General features: G+C 37.5%; 1 protein-coding gene and 1 long non-coding RNA gene across 28 annotated transcripts in view; both read right to left on the reverse strand.

The window, feature by feature from the left end:
- Nucleotides 1–23,764, reverse strand: part of ARHGEF9 (Cdc42 guanine nucleotide exchange factor 9) — a 150,248-nt gene that overhangs the window by 35,089 nt on the left and 91,395 nt on the right. For all 27 annotated transcript variants that reach the window (NM_001173479.2, NM_001353922.2, NM_001353921.2 and 24 more), the window contains 2 exons: nucleotides 8,285–8,517; nucleotides 3,983–4,112 (listed from right to left, as the gene is read on the reverse strand). In NM_001173479.2, coding sequence (NP_001166950.1) covers nucleotides 3,983–4,112; nucleotides 8,285–8,517 — 363 coding nt within the window. The remainder of the gene's footprint in view (nucleotides 1–3,982; nucleotides 4,113–8,284; nucleotides 8,518–23,764) is intronic.
- ARHGEF9-IT1 (ARHGEF9 intronic transcript 1) lies at nucleotides 141–1,447 on the reverse strand. The gene is made up of 2 exons (NR_138419.1): nucleotides 1,194–1,447; nucleotides 141–286 (listed from the first exon to the last, which is right to left on the reverse strand). It is a non-coding gene; the product is annotated as an ARHGEF9 intronic transcript 1 (long non-coding RNA).

A 23,764-nucleotide genomic window follows, 5' to 3' on the forward strand; every position in this document is an offset into this window, starting at 1 on the left:
AGAGCCCGAGCGAAGAGGCCTCACCCCATTCTAATTCTAATTCACCCCATTCTGCCTGATTTCACCCCATTCTAATTATAGGCCAATTGATGTGGGGCTGTAATCTGAGCAGATCCAGGGAAAGGACAAGGGGAATGCCATACTTTTTAACTAGTTTATTTTCAATGCTGCCTACTGACAGGAAGGCAGAGGAGTAACAAATCCATCTAGCCCTACATTTGATCTTCTTGTCCCAGGAGTATGCCTCATCAAGCCACTTTAGCTTTTAAGTAGATGCTTTTGCTGCCTTCATCATGTTGGGTTTTCTTGTTTCCTCCAACTTCTTTGGATTCAGTCATCAAATAGCAAAGTGGAACAGGTCCTTGGGTATTACACAACCAGGCTGGGAGGAGAGGGATCCCACAAAGAGGAAATTACAACCACACACAATCAAGCTCCCAAATATGAGCTACAATGTTAGGTTCCTGCTACAAATCTCCAGAAAAAAAAAAAGATTAAAAAGAAGCTATCCAGGATATGTTACCTTTCCCTTGTTTTCAAGTGGATTAAATGAGTGTGCAAGGTGGCAAAGTGACAGCTCAACCAAACCTCAGCATCATGGAAATTAGAAATAGAAATTTCCCAGAAACTGCAGTCCCTGGGAACAGATTATTCTCCCTGCTGCTCCCGCATACTGCTCTAATGTATTGATTAGTAGAGAGATGACTGACACTTTTACTCATCCATTTGATTTTCAGGAGCCCTGGGGGGTGGGGTAAAAGGAAAGTTACTTCAGGAACTCTAGTCCCTATAGAATGGTAGAGGGCAGGGATAATAACCAGAGTTGGGCAAAGAGACCAAGAATGTTCACGGAATAAGCTAAGAGAAGGGTCAGGCCTTGATATAATGCAGGGCTTCCTGCTCTCTAGCCAGACACTCTGATCTATTGAGCAGACACTAATTGCCTGCATGCTACCCTCCAAATTCCTCTTCAAGGGAGATTAAGCTCTGAAGGTTTCCCCTATGACTCCTCTTTTTCATTTGACAAATGAAGCTGAAATTATCATGCAGATGCTTTTGACAGCCACTCTGTTTGTTCAAACATCTGGGAGACAAGGGGGGTGGCAGAGACAGCAAAATATGGCATCTTTTTCTTGATTTGCACGGTCTGTTCACAGCAGTCCTCGGCAATCTGGCAGAATGTCTCTCCTTGCCTAGACAACTTCTTGGGCAGGTGGAATGCACAAAGAACCTATACCAGGGAACCTGTGAAATTGGGCCACCAATCCTAACCATCATCAAGCCATGGAGCATCCATGTCTCATTGCTTTCTTGGGGAGACTCCCCAGCACTCACCCACCACCTGACTGGGATTTGGATGACCTCCCCAAGGTAGTCTCACTGTCTTATTTAAATATAAACTCTTTACTACATACAAAAAGCAAGTCGCTGAAATATCACAAAGAACAGCAATTGGGCTGTGAGAGGCAGAAGGTTGAAGGAATATGTGGTACCTTACTGAAAACAATACCACACAAGGAATCAGGGGACTAGATTCAAGTTCCAGCTTTGTCACTGACTTGCTGTGTGGCCTTGGTAGGAAATAAACCTCTCTCTGCTTCTCTGTCTTTCACCATCATTGCAAGGTGTTTGAGAGTAAGTGTGTGAGAGTATGTGTACATGTGCATATGTGCATGTGTATACACACAAGAATCGTCAGGGTTGTAGGGGGAGTCCTCTAAGAGCCTTGGTGATTCTGACATTCTAGAAGTCTTTAACACAGGTATGGCAAATATGACAGAAACTTTAGGCTTGGCCTTTGAAATATATCCATCAGGCTTTACTAGAGAAAAGACTTCCTAGAGGACAACTTCGCTGGAACTGGCAAGTTCCACAGTGACCTCAGTCTGACAAGAAGACCATGAAGAATTTTTCTTCTTACAAATTGCTATAGGCTGAATGTTTGTATCCCCATAAAATTCACATGTTGAAACATAATCTCTACTGTGATGGTATTTGGAGGTAAGGCCTTGGGGGATGATGGTCATGAGAATGAGGCAGTCATGAATTAAATGGGAATAGCATTCATAAAAGAGACCCCAAAGAGTTCTCTCATCCTTTCTGCCATGTGAGGTTACAATGAGAAGACAACAGTCTATGAAGAGGGCCCTCACCAGGCACTGAATCTACTGGTTCCTTGATCTTGGACTTCCCAGCTTCCACAATTATGAGAAATAAATTTCTGTTGTTTATAAGCCACCCAGTCTATGGTATTTTGTTATAGCAGCCTGAATGAAGTAGGATGTCAATTTAGATGAAGAAAGGCTTCACCAAGCAGGAGCGTACAAGGGATGTGTGGGCTTACATGAGATTAGAGTACCAATCAATCAGGCTAATAAAGGAGGCAGACACTGTTAGAACTGTGTTTTTGTGGCCCCATTCAGACATACATGCAGGAAATTCCTTCTGAGATGCTGAGTGTTTAAATCATAGCTCAGTGTTATTGAGCTTGGTGCTACTGAAGCTCCCTGAGTAGGCCAGGTAATTTCATGCTATTTTTGGTTCCCCATGGCTCCTGCTCCAAGGACTGATGTCCCAGAGCACACAGGGGAATCAGAAAGTCTTCTAGGCATTGGGAAGTTGGGGAGATGCTCCAGGGAATAGGAAGACAACTGCTGCTGGGCACCTTCTCTTACAAAAAACCCTGCCAACGAGAGAGAATAAGGCCAGCTAATCCACCTTAATTTTAGAGTGTCTTAGAGTTGATGGGCTTGCTAGAAGTCATTTGGTCCAGCTCTCTGCCTTTAATCAGGCAAATGGCCAAAGCAATGCCAACACAAGGAAAAAAGGACCCACAATTTTCTAGTAAGTCTGGCCCAGTGCTGGCTTCTGCTTAAGAGAATGAGGGTCTCTTCATCTAGACAAATTCCTTTCTCTGCAAATCAAAGTGCTGTTCTACTTATATGGGAACATTATCCTTCAAATATAGCCCAAAAGGATGTCAGCTGATCAGAATTGTGGTCTTTTTCAGCAATCTACATTAAGGTAGGACAGAGGTAGCAGAATAAAAGGAAAGTGACTTTTTTCTGGGCCTTGGTTAAGCAGCTGTTTGTGAGGATGATGCTTGGTTCCCTTGGAACGGGCTAAAATACTTTAAGTATTAAGAGAAATACTACCTCTTAATCACTGAAAATGACACTTGAGTTGAGGTCAGTGGAATAGGGAGCAGACCCTACCTCTATATTGTGACCACAAGGCTTAAGATTGCTAATCCCTCCCTAGTAGCACGTCCAGCCTCTCCTATCTTGGTTATTTTAGCCAGCAGACTATCAGATTGCACAACCTGGGCCTGCAAGACATATGTGAAATGTCATTACTCCTGATACTTTTGGTGGGCATCTAGGAAGGGAAGGTCTTTCAGAATTCAGAGAAGTCATGGCTGTCTGCAATGAAATAATCAGGGATTATTTTAAAAACAGATGTGAAAACTGTGGATTTGGCAGGGATGATGGTTGTGGCCTATAGTGTACAGGCCTAATAGAGAGACCTAATAGATGTGCTAGGGTGAGGTGGTATCACCGATAAAAAAAAAAGTATGTTGGCTGTCCTGCATGGTTGGGAACAGGAGAACCAACCTCGTATTCTGTGTCTGGAAGTAAATTAGTATATACTATTTCTTATCTAAGTGTGAATCTGTTGGTCATAAATCCAGAAAGAGCTTTGAAAGGCTACTGAATCAACCCTAATTGTTCCTTGGCAATACCTGAAGAAATGAACCTTTCATTTCTTAATGAGGTATCATCACAAAAATTTCTCCAAGCTTCTTAGAAAGTTATTCAAGTATCCAACACTTCTCATTAGCAAGAAATTTTACCTTGAGTCTAATCTAAATCCTTACTGTTGCTCTTCAAATGTAATTTCTCTTCACCTGTCCTTAGCTAAGATGGGAAGCTTTTGCCAAGCTATTCAGATTTCCCAATACCCTGGTTGGTAAGTTTCCTACCTCCCAGTCTAGGACAGAAGCCTGCCACTGAGCAATCTTGTCAATATTCTCTAAACGTCGCTTGCGTTCGTTGATCTGCTGAGTCACATTTCTCATGACAGCCAAAGCAGCTGCCACATACCTGTAGTCACTGTGAAAACAAAAGAGTGCAAGTTGAACCAACCAATGTGCCAAAGAACCAATGTGCTAGGTGCCAATCTTAACATCCACTCTCCTCTACCTCCTTAGTAACAGAGTCCTGATTTTCAGATGGGAACCCACACCACCTAAAGACTACATTTTCTATCTTTTGTTTCAGCAAAAATGACTATGCAAGTAAGTTTTGTACACTGATATGTAAATAGAAGTGTTGCGTAGTGTAAGAATTAAAGAAAGAGGAGAGAAACATGAAGGATGGCTTTTCAGTCAACAGGGACAGGTTGATTTTAAATAAACCTGAGAGGAGCGGCTGGCCGAGTTAGGTCAGAGCCACACTTTCTTACAGACTAAGAGTTTTTAAGGATTCAGGGTGGGAGACTTTATCAGAGGCATAGACTGCTTTTGCGCCTCTTTGTTGTGCTTATCTGGGAAGAGAGAGTTGTGTGTCTGTTCCCATACATCTTTTTGCAGCTGCAGGCATATCCCCTGAGTCTGCTTTCATCTTCTCTATCTTAGTGCACCTGAAGGAAAAGGAATGTGTTTATTAACGCCCACTGTTTTACTGGGGCCCATTGTATGAGGGTGAAGTTTGGCAGTTACTCAAGAGACTTTCCCCCCTACCTCCTTCTGTGCCTGAGCTCTCTTACTGTCTGCTCTTTCTGGCTGCTTGTAGTTAGAAAAGAAGTGATTTCCTTGAAATGCATGAGGCTAGAAAGGGAGCTGGAACTTGAAGTGGCAGTGTTTGTCCAAGATGACGGTGCTCCTGCTCTATCAGGTAGGCCTTCTGAGAAATCACCTTTAAGGTAGAGAGCATACGCTTCTTTAGCCTTTACTCAATCCTGATGCTTGGAATGTTGATGTGATGGCCGAACCTCTGGTAGCCATCTTGGACCATAAGGACAAGGTCAATACCCTAGGTATAGGATAGTAGATAGCTGTAGGGTGCTCATGTTTCTGATGACCATGAGGCCACCATACCAGTCATAAACTTCAGAATACATACTTCTTTTACATGAGAGACAAATGGACCACTATTTTGTTACATCACTTTTTTTGTGTCCTATCTGATACAGCCAGCCAAGGACCAAGAAGGGAGCCTCACACATGACACAGTATAGACCACCTTATCATCTCTTCCATCATCTATTTCTATGGAGCTTCTGCCCAAAATCACTCTGAAATATCCTCACGTTTGCTTTTGCACAATATAGAAACAGAATGTAGCACAGTGGGTAAGAGCATAAAGTCTGAAGCCAGACTTTGTGGGATCAAATGCCAGTTTTTCTCACTGACTAGCAGTATGGCCTTTGGCAAGCCTCACTCCCTCTCTCATTGACTCAATTTCCTCATCTGTAAAATGGGGAAAAGTATAGTTTATTGAAGGTTTCATAAATTAAATACAATCATCCATGTAAACTATTTTACTCTTGGCATATAACAAATGTTAGCAGTACTATTATTACAAATCAAACATTTCCGTAGTAGAGCCATCACATGGGATGCCTCTTAAAACCCCTAGTCTCAGACGTGTAACCCTTGGCCCCACATCCTGGGACTCTGGATAGCAGACGTGTTGAGAGTTACATATCCTATCCAGTTTTTTTCTGCTGTTCTTTTCTGATTTGCAATCAAATGGCTCTTGGGAAAGGCAGATTGATAGTGAGATCTCAGCCATTCAGTGGGGGCAAAAATAAACTGAGAAGACAAGAGGATGCCTTACAGTTCAGTGTTAACACCTTTCTTTAGAGAAACTGAAAATGCCTTGTGGTCACTAGTCTGCTTAATCTCTCAGTACCATTTTTTAAAAAAGGAAGGAGAAAAAAATAGATGTGCAACAACCGCACATCTTTGCACAACTGCACAACTGCACACCCACAACATTGAATAGTGGGTTGATGGACCAAAGAAAGGCAGAGGAAAGGGACTTCTAATTGCCAGGGCAGATCCTACGTAGTACCTCCTCCTAGTTCACATCCCTCACTCCAATCTGTGATCTGCACACCTGTCAGAGCCATGGCTCTCAAACAATGTTACATTATCACCTCCAGTGAAAGGCTTTTCACTATACTTCCTAACCAGTCTATTCTGTCTCAAGACAAATATGTTAGAAAAGTCTTTATTCTGAGCCTCAGTGAATGTTAGCTATTATCAGTTTTTCTTCTGGATCCCATTGCTGACCCATATTGAGCTTATGGCCAACTAACACTTCCTAAGTCTCTTCAAAACACACTCTAGAAGCTGTATCTCTCTCAGCCTGTCCGTGAGCTATTTATTTCTTATCTTAGACCCAATGGAAACACTCTACATTTGTTTCTGTTACATTTCATTCTTTTACAGTTAGTTGCTCCAATGTATGGGGATCTTTTGGGCTCTGTGACATCACCGAAGTTTCTCCTTGGCAAGATGTCTGAGCCTGACACTTAGAAGGAGGTAGAGTGGTGACAGAAGGGAAGATTGCAGCACAGAAGCTGCTAACATAAGTAAGTGCTCCTGCTCTTTGGACCCATTTTCTGCCCCTGTACCTTTCCTTTCTCTGATTTGAGGAGATCAGTGCTCTAAACCACTTTCTTGGAAGTAAAGCACAGAGCTGTACTGTCCAACATGGTAGCTATTAGCCATATTTAATCAAAATTAAGTAAAATTTAAAATTTAGTTCCTCAGTTGCACTAGCTATGTTTCTTAGTACTCAAGTAGTCACATGTGGTGGGTAACTACTATATTGAATAACACAAATATAGACTATTTGCATTGTTGCAGAAAGTTCTACTGGGCAGTCCTGGCATGACAATGTTCATTTCCTCTACACCAAGACTACTCAGTCATGGATTCCTCACTGTCAGTGTCCCATACTGCCTATTTTTGCCATCTTTAGCTGGCTGCCTTTCTCAAAATGGCTAGAGGGGGAATGTGCCCATCTCTAACCTGTCCTACTAGTTTTAGCAGTCGGCAGGAGAAGAAAGGAATAGCTGTGGTCCAGCCTAACCCTGGTCAAAGCCCTCAGATGAGGTCTGGGCCCAGCCTCTTATTGGGGAGAACAACAGAACAAAGATTTTCTACTTCCAGACATGTCAGCTAGCCTCCCTCTTACATGCAGTCTTCATTCTCATCAACTTAAGGAAGGTAGGGTAGGGAATTATATCAATCATCTGTAAGCAAAGTCAGTATTCTTCTCTATTTATCATTCTTCATCTAATCTTCTCCCTCAGGGGCCATTCTGACTGCCTGTATTTCAGCCCTACCTATCTGAACACCTATCTTACTAAGCTTCCAAGCTGGCATCAGCCTTTAGTTGCCTTCAAATCCGAGCTACTCTTGACATGCATGGCAGGAGCCATCATCTTAATACAGATTCCTGAGACCTGCCAAAAGGGGTTGTCTATGTCGTGGGAGTTGTGCTGGGCCCAACGGGTCACTCTGAGAAAGGGCAGAAATTGATGTCGCCTGACACTGCCTGAGCTACTCTACTGTCACTCTGGAGCGCAAGGGGTGAGAGGAGAGGGAATCAGGGACCTAGATGGCAAGAGGACTTTGAAGCAGGAGTTCCAGTCACAAGGTGAAAGTGTACAGAAATGGCAAATCCCAGGCGAATGTCCTATCTTTTTGGTGCCCACCAAACCCCCAAAAAGCTCTGAGGTTGTTTTGGCCTAAGAAACTAACATAGCTTTGAGCTATGCTTAAAAACTTTTTTCTGGAACTTTTAAGATGAATTATGCCATATATAATTTACCTAGTGAATATTATCAGTCCACAAGTATGATTTAGCTCCATTGCTTGGTCTCCTTGGGGCTAACTTTCAGACCCAGATGCATGAGCCATGGGTGTGGGCCAGTTGGTTTGGTTTACATCTTTGGGTTCGTTTTTGGATTGATGCTGCTTCTCTAACAAATCATATCTTATATGCTTTAGTGGTTCTGGAGCCCTAGGCAGATTTCAGATTTTAACCCAAATATAGTGGCAAAGGACCCTCCTTTTGTGTGAGTAACAAAGCCAGTGATAGCTCTGCCTTCTGTACCCTGTTGGCTATGAGGCAATCAAGAATGTATCATCCTGTTTTGCAGATAAGTTAACAGAAGCTCAGAAAGGGCAAAAGGACATGTATTCTCAATGAGAACCAACAGATAGAGGAAGTTCCCTCATTCACTCCTGACTCCCTCGATCCCTTACCTGTGGTCTTGGGCAGTATACTTTAGGAGCTCAGCCAACTGTAAGGGATACTTGCAGATCTTCTGCACTGGAGTCAAAAGGAAACCATCGATAGCAATGTCAATCATCTGCTGCAAGAGGCGACAGGCCTCAAAGAAGTGCTGGTAGCGGCTGTCCTTCATCAGTTTGGAGAGCTCCATGCAAGCATCCAGGTGGTTGTTACAATACTCAGAGTATATCCAGAATCCATCTTGCTGTGGGAAAAGAAAAAAAGGAAAGGAAAAGTCTACCAAGGACCCCAAAAGAAGTCTTGAAGTAATGGAAAGACAGATCATATTCTTAGGCAGAAATATTAAAATGATAATGAGTCAATTATTCTTAAATTGATTCATAATTTAATAATAAATATCAAAACAAATTATTCAGTAACAAGACAAACTGACTGTAAATTTCTTATAGAAAAATGAGTACATAGGAATAGTAGGGACATTCTGTAAAAGAAGGGTAATAAGGGAACACTGGCCCTAATAAGAGTAAAACACAGCATGGAAATAAAACTCTGGGACTGGATCACAAAAAGCAAGAGATCAGTGACTCTACTTCTGGCAATGACAGACTAAGTTGTTGCAGGCAAACCCTGCCACTGAGAGTAGCTGGAAAAGCTAAAAATATAAATAAATATCTGTTTGAAGGAATCACACAATCCAGAGCCTGATATTATCTCCATAAAATGTCCCTAAGGAAACACAATGTGATGAAGTGTTTAGAGGTAAGGAATCTAAGATGTATGCAAGTTAAAACACTAATGGCTGAGAAAAAAATGTATGAGTGTGTGTATATGTATGTATGGACATATAAATATGTACATAAAGAGAGGGGAAGAGGAGAGAGTCAGGAGAGAGAGGGAGAGCACACTCAAATGATAAGACAAAATGGTAAAATGTTAACAACAGGGGAATCTGGGTATTTTTTGTATGGTTCTTATTTTTCAACCTTTCCATAAGTTTGAAATTAATTCCAAGTAAAGTTTTAAAAAAACTCTATAATTTTTATTATATATTGACAAGTACTTAATAAAAGATAACCTGATACATTAGAATAGAAAATATTTATAAAACCCAAGAGAAACAATAGGCAATAGAAACTGATCAACAAAAAATCAAGATAGAGTTGTTATATAAGGGTTGAAAAACAAGCAAAATAGCACATAAAAAGAATAATATACCATGATCAGGACAGACTTATCCCAATGTAATTTACCACATTGACAGATTAAAGGAGAAAAATTACATGATCGTTTCAATAATGCTGAATAAGCATTTGAGAAAATAAATTTATGACAAAGACATCAGCAAACTAGAAATAGAAAGACACTACCACAATGTAATAAAGGACACCCATGAAAAACGTTAAGCTAATTACTTGGTAAAATATTGAATGCTTGCCCCTAAGATCAAAACAAGACAAAGATGCCTGTTCTCACCATTTCTAGTTAACACCGTACTGTATATCCCGGCCAGTGAAATAAGATAAAAAAGGAAATAGACAGAATATAGACTGAAAAAAGAAGAAATTAAACTCTTTTTTTCAGAGATGACATAATTGTATATGCATAAAATCCTAAGAAATCTACAAAAAAAATACTGGAACCAATTAGTGAATTTGGTTATGTGTCAGGACACAAAGTCAATGTACAAAAATCAACCGTATTCCTGTGTAATAGTAATAGACTATAGGAAATTGACATTTTAAAATACCACTTACAATGGCAGCCGAAAAAATTTTAAATACTTAGAAATCAACTTTTAGGAGAGGATGTCAGTAAGATGGCAGAGTAGGAAATATCGCCTTCCTTTCTTCAGCAAACAACAACAATTTGGTAGCTATCCATGAACAAAAAATAATTCTGGAAAAGCTTAGGGGTCCACTTAAGAAGCCACAGCAATATAGTGAAAGAAAAAGTCAGAAAACAAATACACAAAACGAGTAGGAAAAACAGTTTCATTTTGCTTGCATCACCCCGTCCCCATAGCTGGTACTGCTCATTATGAAACAGCAACTTGGATCTTGGATCTTGTGTCCTACATACAGGGAGGAGACAGGAGTGTACAACCAGCTTCCCCAGCTTTATGGGACACTGCCCTAATGACCAGCTTCAGTTTCATCCCACCCAGATCTCTGAAAAGACAGATATAGCCTAGATGTCTGGAAACAGCAGAGAGCAAAGAATAGGGATTGGTTATATCAGTATCAGCAAAGTAGCAGGAGTCGCAGTGATCTGCCGTGGCCTCTTTGGCACAGGGCCCCAGTAGGCCTCTCTGTCAAGGACCTCAATAGCCCTCATAGCCACTGGGTACCTCCTGTAGATTTTACCTCTCAAGATTCTTCAGTGTTCACAGTCACAGACCCCAGAAGCTTTTTCAGCTTTTCCTGCTGAGAAAACCAACTGCTAGTATAGTATCAGCAGACGCCCTGCAGCTTATACTGCTAAGGGTCCATGGGTTGTTTTTTCTTCCTTTTGAGTTTTAGGAGAAAAAACAAACAAACAAACAACAACAACAACAACAACAACAACAAAAAACATGCCTGAGCCATGTCCCTTCTTCTTCTCTACTTCCTGGAGCCACCCAGAGCTGCCCAACTGCTGCTGTGGTTACTATAGCCCAGTGGGAAGGGGTGATGTAGGCCAACAGCTTTCACATTCTCCAGATCCCTGATCCACCAGAGCTTTCCCTCCCCCATGCCCAGAGCTGCCTGAGCTACTCCTACCACAGGTGCCTTGGCAAAGGGACTCAGCACAGGAGCCTTTGCATTCTCTAGGTACTTAAGCAAGTACTACCTCCTTGGATGCTCTGGCCCAGTGACCCAGCACAGCTACCATGCATGTACCTGCAAACAGCCCTAGGGTCCCAAACTAGGGATTCTAGTCTCACTACCACATGTTACCAAAGCTGACCCACGCAGACAGGCTATCACACAAATTCTTCTAAAGCACACATGGAATACTGTCCAGAATAGACCACATGCTATACCACAAAATAAGTCTTAGCAAATTTAAGAAGATCAACATCATATCAAGTATCTTTTCTGGTCATGATGATATAAAACTACAAGTCAGTAACAGGAAGAAAACTAGAACATTCTTAAATCAGTAGAAATTAAACAACATATCCCTGAATAACAAATGGGTCAAAGAAAAAATCAAAAGGGAAATTAAAAAATATCTTGAGACAAATGAAATTGAAAGCACAACATACCAAATCCTTTGGGATGCAGCAAAAAAAGTTCTAAGAGGGGCGTTGATAGCATTAAAAAAAATCTGAAATAAACAATCTGATATTCCACCTCAAGGAACTAGAAAAAGAAGAACAAAGTAAACTCAAAGATAGCAGAAGGAAAAAAATAAAAGATCAAAGCAGATATAAATCAGAGAACAGAAAAACTTAGGGAAAAAAATCAACAAAACTAAGACTTGGTTTTTAGAGAAAAAGAATATAGGTAAATAAAATTAGAAATGAACATGAAGATATTACAAAAGATGTCTCAGAGATGAAAAGGATTACAAGGGACTATTATGAACAATTATATGACAACAACTTGGAAACACCAGAGGAAATGAATATATTCCTAGAAATATAAAACCTACCAAGATTGAATCAAGAAGAAATAGAGAGCCTGAACATTAACAAATAAAGAGATTGAAGTAGTCATTTAAAATCTCCTAACAACAAAAGATCATAGGACCAGATGGCTTCACAGCTGAATTCTACCAAATACCCAGATAAGAATTAGTAGCAATCCCTCTTAAACTCTTCAATAAATAAATAAATAAATAAATAAATAAATAAATAAATAAAAGAACTAAAGGGAATACTCCCAAATGATTCTAAAGTCAGACAGAAATACAAGAAAAGGGCCAGGCGCTGTGGCTCACGCCTATAATCCTAGCACTTTGGGAGGCCGAGGTGGGCAGATCACAAGGTCAGGAGATCGAGACCATCCTGGCTAACATGGTGAAACCCCGTCTCTAATAAAAATACAAAAAAATTAGCCAGGCGTGGTGGCGGGCGCCTGTAGTCCCAGCTACTTGGGAGGCCGAGGCAGGAGAATGGCGTGAACCCAGGAGGTGGAGCTTGCAGTGAGCCGACATTGCGCCACTGCACTCCAGCCTGGGTGACAGAGCGAGACTCTGTCAAAAAAAAAAAAGAAGAAAAGAAAACTACAAGCCAGTATCACTAATGATCATAGGTATAAAGATTCTCAATAAAATAGTAGCTAACCCAATTCAGTAACATATCAAAAAGATCATACATCATGACCAAGTGGGATTTATCCCTGGGATGCAAGTATGGCTTAACAAATCCAAATCAATTATTATGATACATTACATTAGCAAAAGGAATAATTTAAAAACCACACGGTTATTTCAATAGATGTGGAAAAAGCTTTCACAAAGTTCAACATCCTTTCAGGATAAAATATCTTCACAAATTAGGTATTAATATTAAAAATTTCCTCAGCATAAGAAAGGCCATTTATGAGATGCCCACAGGTAACATCATAATCAATGGTGAAAAATGGAAAGCTTTTCCTCTAAGATCTGGTATAAGACAAGGATGCCCACCCTTGCCAATTTTATTCAAAATAGTACTAGAAATACTAACCATGGCAATCAGATAAGAAAAATAAATAAAATGCATCCAAATTGGATCAGAAGTAAACTAGCCCTATTTGGAGATAAGATGATTATATATGTAGAAAGCCCAAAAGACTCCCTCCAAAAATTAAAAAGAAAAAAACCTGTTAGAAAAAGTGAATTCAGTAAAGATGCAGGATACAAAAAAAAAATCAGTGTACAAAAATCAGTTGCACTCTTTATACCTATAATGATGTATCAAAAAAAGAAATTTTAAAAAATCATATTTATGATACCATCAAAAAGAATGAAATACTTAAGGAATACATTTATTCAAGAAGGTGAAAGATCTGTGCACAGAAAACCAAAACACCCTGATGAAAGAAACTGAAGAAGACACAAAGAAATAGAAAGATTTCCCATGTGCAAGGATTGGAAGAACCAATATTGTTAAAATGTCCCTACTACTCAAAGTGATATAGAGATTCAACACAACCCCTATCTAAATTCCAATGGCATTTTTCATGGAAATAGACAAAAACATATATAAAATTTCTATGGAACCAAACTAGACCCTTGATAGCCAAAGCAACTCTGAGAAATAAAAATAAATCTGGAGGCATCACACTCTTTGATTTCAAACAATATTAGAAAACTATGGAAATCAAAACAGTATGGTACTAGCATAAAAACAGATATACCAATGTAATAGAATAGAGAGTCCAGAAATAAACCGAAGCAAATATAGTGAACTAATTTTTGACAAGAGCACCAACAGGACACAATGGGGAACGTATAGTCTCTTCAATAAATGTTGTTGGAAAAACTGGATATCTATATGCAAAAGAACAAAATTGGGCCCATATTTTAGACCATACACAAAAATCAACTCAAAATGCATAAGAGACTGAAACATAAGAGCTGAAATAATAAAACTACTAAAAGCACTACTGCTGTGCTTTTTTATATGACACCAAAAGCACAGGCAACAAAAGCAAAAAGAAACAAGTGGGACTGCATCAAATTAAAAAGCTGCTATGCAGAAAAAAAAAGTCAACAACATGCAAAGGTAGCCTATAGACTGAGTGAAAATATTTGCAAACTGTAAAGTGGTTAATATTCAAAATATACATAAAGTGGTTAATATATATAAAATATATAAAGTGGTTAATATTCAAAATATATAAGGAACTCACATCACTTCACAGCAAAAAAAAACAAATAAACAAATAAACTAATTAAGAAATGAGCAAAGAATTTGAATAGACATTCCTCCAAAAAAGACATAAAAATAGCCAACAGGTATACGATGATGCTCAACATCATTAATCATCAGGAAAATGCATATCAAAACCACAATGAGAAATAACCTAGCATCTATTAGGATGGGTATTATCAAAAAGATAAGACATAACAAGTGTTGACAAGGGTTTAGAGAAAAGGAGACCCTTGTACACTGTTAGTAGGAATATATATTGGTACAGCAGCCACTGTGGAAAATAATACCTTTAAGATGTTCCCAAAGAAATCAAAAATAGAATTATCAAATTATCCAGTAATCCCTCTTTTGAGTATATGCCCAAAGGAAATGCACTCACTACCTTGTAAAGATATCTGCACTCCCATGTTCATTGCAGTACTATTAACAATAGCCAAGATGTGGAAGCAAACAAAGTGTCCATTAATGGATAAATGGGTAAAGAAACTGTCGGGTGTATATGTATATGTAATATGTTGCCTATATTTTAATAAATTACCTCTATTTTTAATTTATTTATATATATATTACATATACATACAGAGACACAGAATAGAATATTATTCAGACTTTAAAAAGAAGGAGGGAAGGAGATTATGTCATTTGTCACAACATGGAGGAACCTAGAGGACATTATGCTACATGAAATAATCCAGTCACAGAAAGAAAACTACTGCATGATTTCACTTATATGTGGAATCAAAAGGAAAAAAAAAATGAATACATAGAAACAGATTAGGATGGTGGTGACCAGAGGTGAGGGGGTGGGAGAAAATGGGAAGATATAAGTCAAAGGGCACAAAGTTGTAGTTACACAGGAAAAGTCTAGAGATCTAACCTACAGCATGGGGACTAGAGTCAACATTATTGTATTATACACTGGAAATTTGCTAAGAGAGTAAATTTTAGATACTATTACCACAAAAAAGTAACTATGTGAGATGATATGTTAATCTGTTTGACTGTAGTCATCACTTCATCATTTATATCAAAACATCACATTGTACATCTTAAATTTATACCTTAAATATTTTTTAAAACAATCAAATTTTAAAAGGTCAAAATCATACAATGAAAACTAAAAAACAATCCTGGGAGAAATCACAAAAAAATCGAAATAAACAGTTAAATGTTCATGGATTTGAAGACTCATCATATCAATGTTCCCAAAACTGATCCACAGATTTAATGCAATCCCAACCAAAACACTGATAGGGTTTTTGTTTGCTTGTTTTTGGTAAAATTTGGCAAGATTATTCTTAAATTTATATAGAAATACAAATAACCTAAAATAGCTAAAATTGTTTTGAAAAAGAACTAAGTTGGAGGAGTTATGCTATCTGATTTAAAGACTTGCTATGAACCTATATTAATCAAGAAAGTGGGTTACTATTACAAGAATAGTCATATAGATCACTAGAACAGAAGAGTATACCTAAAAATAGATCTGCACATATATGCTTAATTGATTTTTGACAAAGGTGCCCAGGCAATTCAATAGGGGAATCAGTATTTTTTAACAAATATCCATACAGAAACCAATTAACCTTGATCTGTATTTTGTGCCATATATAAAAATTACCACAAAAGGGATCATAGGCCTAAATGTAAAAAATAAAACTATATAACTTCTATTTTTAAAAAAGTAGAAAACCGTTATGATTTTGAGATAGGCAAAGAAAGTAGGAAACAAAAAGTATGACCCATAAAATAAAATAAAGCGATAAACTGGATTTCAATAAAATTAAGATACTCTTAAAACTAAAAATCGAATTACCATTCAATCCAGCAATCCCATTACTGTGTATTGACTTAAAGAAAATAAATCATTATATCAAAGGAATACTGGCACTTGCATATTTACCGCAGCAACATTCATAATAGCAAAGATAAGGAATCAATCTAAGTGTCCATCAACAAATGAATGGATAAAGAAAATATGGTACTTCTACACAATGGAATAGTATTCAGCCATAAAAAGAATGAAATTATGTCATTTGCATCAACGTAGATGAAACTAGAGGTCATTGTCTTAAGTGAAATAAGCCAGGCACAAAAAGACAAATATCACATGTTCTCATTTATTTGGGGGTGCTAAAAAATTTGAACACATGGAGGTAGAGGGTGGAAAAATAACAGAGACGGAAGTGTGAGCAGGTGAGAAGGGAGAACATGAAGATAAGTGGGTTAAAGGGTACAAACATAAGATAGAAGGAATACATTCAATGTTCAATAGCAGAGTAGGATGACTATACTTAAAAAAAATGCATTGTACCCTAAAACCCGACTTGATCACTATGCATTATACATATGTTAAAAATTTCTCACATACTCCATAAATATGCACAACTTAGAAAAGACACAGTTAAGAAAATGAAAGGCTAAGCCACAGACTGGGATATAATGTCTGCAAATAACTTATCTGACAAAGGACTTGTTAACAAAATATATAATTCTCATAACTGAGAATGTCACCAAAATAGCACAGTATATGTAGCTTTACTCTCCTCCACAGAAAACCAAAAAGAACTAGCCACTGCCCAGATTATCAAAAGGAATATTCCAGAACTCAATGACTGAAGTTGTGACAATCCCAGAGGCCACAGAGAACTGAAAAACTGCAAGCAAAAGGTAAAATAGCTCCTTCCCCAAGCTGCCAGGCACTGTGTAGAAAGGCACCCTCAAAATCAAGGTTCCTATAATACTGGAAAAAATAAAAGTGGACAGCTAGCTTCCCCACCATCTTAGATTCCTTTCCAGAAAAATTATTCCTGCCTCAACCTGTAAGAAGCCTCTTGAATGCCTGCAGAGTAAAAAATCCCAAAGGCAGCTAGAGTTAGAGGGTGGGGGTGGGGTTAGCAACACCCAGTGCATGAAACTCCAGCTTCCCTTCATCTGACCTCAAAAAAGACACCAAATCAGAAAGGCTGTTTAACAGCATCACGTTGCAGGAAGCACACTTCATCAGTCCTCTGGGAACAAACCTCCATCCAGCTTTCCCACAGAGCTGGGGTATCTTTGGGATTCCTCCCCATCCAGGATGAGTAGCACTCTGAAATTGAGAAAGACTATGTCAAATCTGGGTTCAGGGTGCCATCTAGTGTTGAAAAGGAGGCAGTGATCTCAGGCTAAGGGAACTAAATAGTCACTCTGCACAAAACCTCTAGACAGACATACTTCTGAAAGACCAAACCAAGCCAGACAGTGAAGACTGGAATAAAGAACTAATCCTTCAATGCAAATGCACAGACATATATCCATAGAAAGAGCAAACAGGAAACCATGACATTCCCAAATAGACAAAATAAGGAGCCAGTGACTGACCCTAATGAGATGATGTTGTGTGAGCTCTCAGATCAAGAATGCAGAATAGCAATTTTCAGGAAACTCAGAAAATGCCAATGTAACACAGAAAAGCAATTCAGAAATGTATTACAGAAATTTAACAATGAAATTGAAATTTTAAAAAATTAAACAGAAATCCTAGAGCTAAGAAATACAATAGTCAAACTGAAAAATACATGGGATGGTCTCAACAACAGAATTGATCAAGCAGAAGAAAGAACCGGTGAGCCCTAAGACTATTTGAAAATACACAATAAGAAGAGAAAAAATAATGAGAAAAATGAAGAACGCCAACAAGATCTAGGGGATAGCCTCAAAAGAGCAAGTCAAAGGGTCATTGGCTTTAAAGAGGATGTTGAGAAAGAACAAAAGGTAGAAAGCTTATTCAAAGTAATAATAACAGAGACTTTTCCAAACCTAGAGAAAGATATAAATATCCAGGTACAGGGTTAAAGACAACCAAACATGTTCAATCTAAATAAGATTACCCTAAGGCATATAATAATCAAACTCTCAAAGGTTAACAGACAAAGAGGGAAATCTTAAAAGCAGCAAGAGAAAAGAAGCAAATAACATATAAAGGAGTTTCAATTCCTGTGGTAACAGAGTTTTCAGTGTAAGTCCTACAGGGCAGGAGGGAGGGGGGCAACATATTCAAAGTACTGAATGAAAAAAACAAAACAACAACAACAAAAAAACCTCCCATACTGTGCCCAGCAGAGCCATCCTTCAAACATGAAGGAGAGATACAGACTTTCCCAGACAGAAGCTGAGGGAATTCATCAACAGAAGATTTGTCTTACATGAACTGCTGAAGCCAGTTGTTCAATCTTAAAAGAACACTAATATGTATCAAGAAAACACCTGAAGTTATAAAATAAACTGGTAAACGTATATAGACAAATTCAGAATAAACTATGCAGACAAATACTGAATTGTGGTGTGTAAACCGTTCACAACTTTAGTATGAAGACTGAAAAAAATCTATCAAAAATAATGACAATTTATTAAGGTCAGCCTGGCCAACATGGTGAAACTCCATCTGTACTAAAAAATACAAAAATTAGCTGAGTGTGATGGCACGTGCCTATAATCCCACCTACTCAGGAAGCTGAGATAGGAGAATCGCTTGAACTCGGGAGGCAGAGGTTGCAGTGAGCCGAGATCGTGCCACTGCACTCCAGCCTGGGAGACAGAGCAAGACTCCATCTCAAAAACAAAACAAAACAAAAAGGCAATTTATTAAGGGATAGGCAATATAAAAAGATGTAAACTGAGAAAACAAAAAGTTAAAATGGGGAAGTAATGGACTTAAATTTTAGAGATTTTAGTTTTTAATTTTTCTTTTGATCAAAGTTAAGTTGTCATCAGTTTATAATAAGATGTTCTAAGCCCCACAGTAACATCAAAGCAAAAACCTGTAAAAGATACACTAACAAAAGCAAATAATTAATACATGCCACCAGAGAAAAATCACTAAACAACAAAGGAAGATAGTAGTAAAATAATGGAAGACAGGAGTTACAAAACAATCAGAAAATAATAACAAAATGGCAGTAGTAAGTCCTTACCTTTCAAAAATAACATTGAATGTAAATGGGACTAAATTCTCCAATTAAAAGAGAGTGGCTGAATGGATTAAAAAAAACAGCATCCAACTATATGCTGCCTTCAAGAAGTTCACTTCTTTAAGTGAATTTCTAGTGAATAAGACACATAGAGACTAAAAGTGAAGGGATGGAAAAAGATACTGCGTACAAATAGAAACCACAAAAGAGCAGCAGTGGCTACACATATATCATACGAAACAGACTTCAGGTCAAAAACTGTAAGAAAAGACAAAGAATGTCATTATATAATAATAAATGGGTCAATTCAGCTACAGGATATAACAATTATAAATTCGCATGCACCCAACACTGGAGCACCCAAATATACACAACAAATATTAGTAGATTTAAACAGAGAGACAGACTACAACACCATAATAATAGGGAACTTCAACACTCACTTTCAGCAATGAACAGATTATCCAGACAAGATATCAACAAAGAAATACTGGATTTCAGTTGTACTATAGACCAAATGTACGTAACTGAAAATAACAGAACATATCATCCAACTGCTGGAGACTACACATTTTCCTCATCAGCATATAGAACATTCTTGAAAACAGGCCATATGTTAGGCCATAAACAAATCTCAACAAATTTTAAAAAGTCAAATTAATATCAAGTGTCTTTTCTGACCACAATGAAACAACACTAGAAATCAGTAAGAAGAGCACTTAAGAAACTGTACAAATACACCGAAATTAAATACATTGCTCCTGAATGATCAGTGGGTAAATAACAAAATTCTTTTAAAAAATAGAAATTTCTCAAAACAAATGAAAATGAAAACACAAGATACTAAAGCCTATGAAATAAAGCAAAAGCAGTACAAAGAGGAAAATTTATGGCAATAAAAGCTTTCATCAAAAAAGAAAAAGAAAGTCTTCAAATAAATAATCTACCAAGTCACTTCAAAGAATTAGGAAGGCAAGAACAAACCAAACCCAAAGCTAGTAGAAGGAAATAAATAACAAACACCAGAGCAGAAATAAATGAAATTAAGGCTGAAAAATACAAAAGATCAATGAAATGAAAAGTTGTTTTTTTTGAAAAGATACTCAAAATCAACAAATCTTTAGCTAGACTAAGAAAAAAAGAATACTCAAATAAATGAAATCAGAGGTGAAAAGGGAGAATATAACTGATACCACAAAAATACAAAGGATCATTACAGAGAATATGAACAACTACAGGCAAACAAATTGGAAAACCTAGAAGAAATGGATAAATTCCTGGATACATATGACGTACCAAGATTGAACCATGAATAAATAGAAAACCTGAACAAACCAATAACAAGTAACAAGATCAAAACAGTAATAAAAAGTGTCTCATCAAAGAAAAGCCAAGGACCTTACGGTTTCACTGCTGAATTCCACCAAACATTTAAAAAAGAACTGATAATAATTCTATGCAAATTATTTCAAAAAAGTAAAGAGGAGGAATACTTCAAACTCATTCTATGAGGCCAGCATTACCCTGGTACCCAAACCAGACAAAAACACATCAAAAAAAGAAAACTACAGGCCAATATTACTGGCAAACATAGATGCAAAAATTCCAAACAAAATACTAGCAAACTGAATTAAACAACACATTAAAAAGATCACTCACGATGATCAAGTGGGTCTCATCCCAGGGACAAAAGTTTGGTTCAACATATGCAAATAAATAAACGTGATACATTACATTAACAGAACCAAGGACAAAACCTGTATGATCACTTCAATAGATGCTGAAAAAGCATTTCATAAAATTCAAGATCCCTCCATGAGAAAAAGACAACAAACTGGGTACAGAAGGAACATGCATCAAAATAATAAAAGCCATATATCACAAACCCACAGCTATCATCATACTGAACAGGAAAAAAATCAAAAGCCTTTCCTCCAAGATCTAGACCAAGACAAGAATGCCCACTTTTACCACTTATGTTCAGTGTAGTACTGCATGTTCTAGCCAGAGCAATTTAGGCAAGAGAATGAAATAAAGGGTATCCATATTGAAAAGGAAGAAATCAAATTATCCTTGTTAGCAGATGATATAATCTTATATTTAGAAAAACCTAAAGACTACCTACACACACGAAATGCTGGAAATGATCAACAAATTCAGTAAAGTTGCAGGATACAAAATCAACATACAAAAAGCAGGTGCACTTCTGTTTGCCAATAGTGAACAATCTGAAAAAGAAACCAAAAAAGCAATCCCATTTAAAACAGGATTTAAAAAAAAATAGGAATAAATTTAACCACAGAAGTGAAAGATCTCTAAAATAAAAATAAAAAGCACTGCTGAAAAAAATTGACAACTACACACAAAAAGGGAAAGATATCCCATATTGATGGATGGGAAGAATTAATATTGTTAAAATGTACTGCCTAAAGCAACCTATAGATTAAATGCAATTAATTAATATTAAATTAATATTGTTAAATTAATATTGCTAAAATATACTACCAAAAGCAATCTACAGATTAAATGCAATCTCTATCAAAATACCAATGACATTCACCACAGAAATGGGAAAAAAATCCTAAGGTTCATATGGACCCACAAAAGACCCAGAATAGCCAAAGCAATCCCGAGCAAAAAGAACAAAGCTGGAGGCATCACACTACCTAACTTCAAAATACACTGTAAAGCTATAGTAACCAAAAAAGCATGGTACTGAAGTAAAAACAGACACATAGACCAATTGAACAGAATAGAGAATCCCAAAATATACCCATGCATTTACAGCCAATTCATTTTCAGTAAAGACACCAAGAACACATATTGGAGAAAGGACAGCCTCTTCAACTTATGTTCTTGGACAAACTGGATGTCCATATGCAAAAGAATAAAACTAGACCCCTATCTCTCACCATATGAAAAAATAAAATCAAAATAGATGAACGACTTAAACGTAAGACTTGAAACTATAAAACTACTAGAATAAAACACTGGAAAAATGCCTCAGGTCATTGATATGCACAAAGACTCTATTGAGTAATACCTCTAAAGCACAGATAACAAAAGCAGAAATACCCAAATGGGATTATATCAAGCTAAAAAGCTTCTGCACAGCAAGGGAAACAATCAACAGAGTGAAGCAACAACATACAGAATGAGAGAAAATATCTGCAAACTATCCATCTGACAAAACATTAATAGCCAAAATATGTAAGTGACTCAAACAACTCAATAGCAAAAAAACACAAATAATCTGATTTAAAAGTGGGCAAATGCTCTGAACAGACATTTCTTAAAAGAAGACATACAAATGGCCAATAGGCATATGAAAAATGCCCAACATCATTAATCATCAGGGAAATGCAAATCAAAATCACAAGGACATATCATCTCACCGCAGTTAGAATGGTTATTATCAAAAAGACAAAAAATAACAAATGCTGAAGAGGATGCAGAGAACAGAGAACTCTCATACACTGCTGATCGGAATGTAAATTAGTACAGCCATTATGGAAAATGGTATGGAAAACTAAACACAGAAGTACCATATGATCCAGCAATCCCACTGCTGGGTATATATTGTATATAGCCAAAAGAAGAAAAATCAATATGTCAGAAGAGATATTTGCACTCCCTTGTTTATCACAGCACTATTCAAAATAGCCAAGATATGGAATCAACCTAAGTGCCCACTGATGGATCAATGGATGAAGAACATGTTGCTATATATACACAATGGAATATTATTGAGCTATAAAAAGAAAATCCTGTCATTTGCAGCAACATGGGTGGAACTGGAAGACATTATGTCAACTGAAATAAGCCAGGCACAGAAAGACAAATATCATATGTTTTCACTCATATGTGAGTAGGGGCTATCAAAGTTGATCTCATGGAGGTGGAGAGTATAGTAGTAGTTACCAGAAGTTAGGAAGGTTGTGGGGAGAGAAGGATGAAGAGAGGTTGTTTAATGGGTATAAAACTACAGTTATATAGAAGAAATAAGTTCTAGTGTTTGATATCACAGCAGTTAACAATAATTAATGGCATATTTCAAAATAGTTATAAAAACAATTGTAGTTAACAATAATTAATTGCTTGTTTCAAAATAGCTAGAAGATTTGGAATGCCCCCAACACAAATAAATGATAAATGTTTGAGATGATGGCTATCCCAATTACCCTGATTTAATCATTACACATTGTATTCATGTATCAAAACACCACATGTAGTCCCAGCAATTTGGGAGGCCAAGGTGGATGGATCACGAGGTCAGGAGTTCCAGACGAGCCTAGCTAATATGGTGAAACCCCGTCTCTACTAAAAAAATGCAAAAATTAGCTGGGCGTGGTAGCACATGCCTGTAATCCCAGCTACTCAGGAGGTTGAGGCAGGAGAATTGCTGGAACCCGGGAGTCAGAAGTTGCAGTGAGCTGAGATAGCACCACTGCACTCCAGCCTGCGTCACAGAGTGAGATTCCATCTCAAAAAAAAAAAAAAAAAACCACATGTACCCCATAAATAAGTAAATTACATATTAATTTTTAATAAAAGAACTCTCAAAACTAAACAATAAAAAAACAAACAATACACTTAAAACGGGAAAAATACATGAATAGACACTTCACCAGTTTTTATATAGATGGCAAATAAACACATGAAAAAATGCTCAACATCACTATACATTGGAAATG

The sequence above is a fragment of the Homo sapiens genome, chromosome X (genome assembly GCF_000001405.40).
Source record: "Homo sapiens chromosome X, GRCh38.p14 Primary Assembly".
In the NCBI taxonomy this organism is placed as follows: Eukaryota; Metazoa; Chordata; class Mammalia; order Primates; family Hominidae; genus Homo; species Homo sapiens.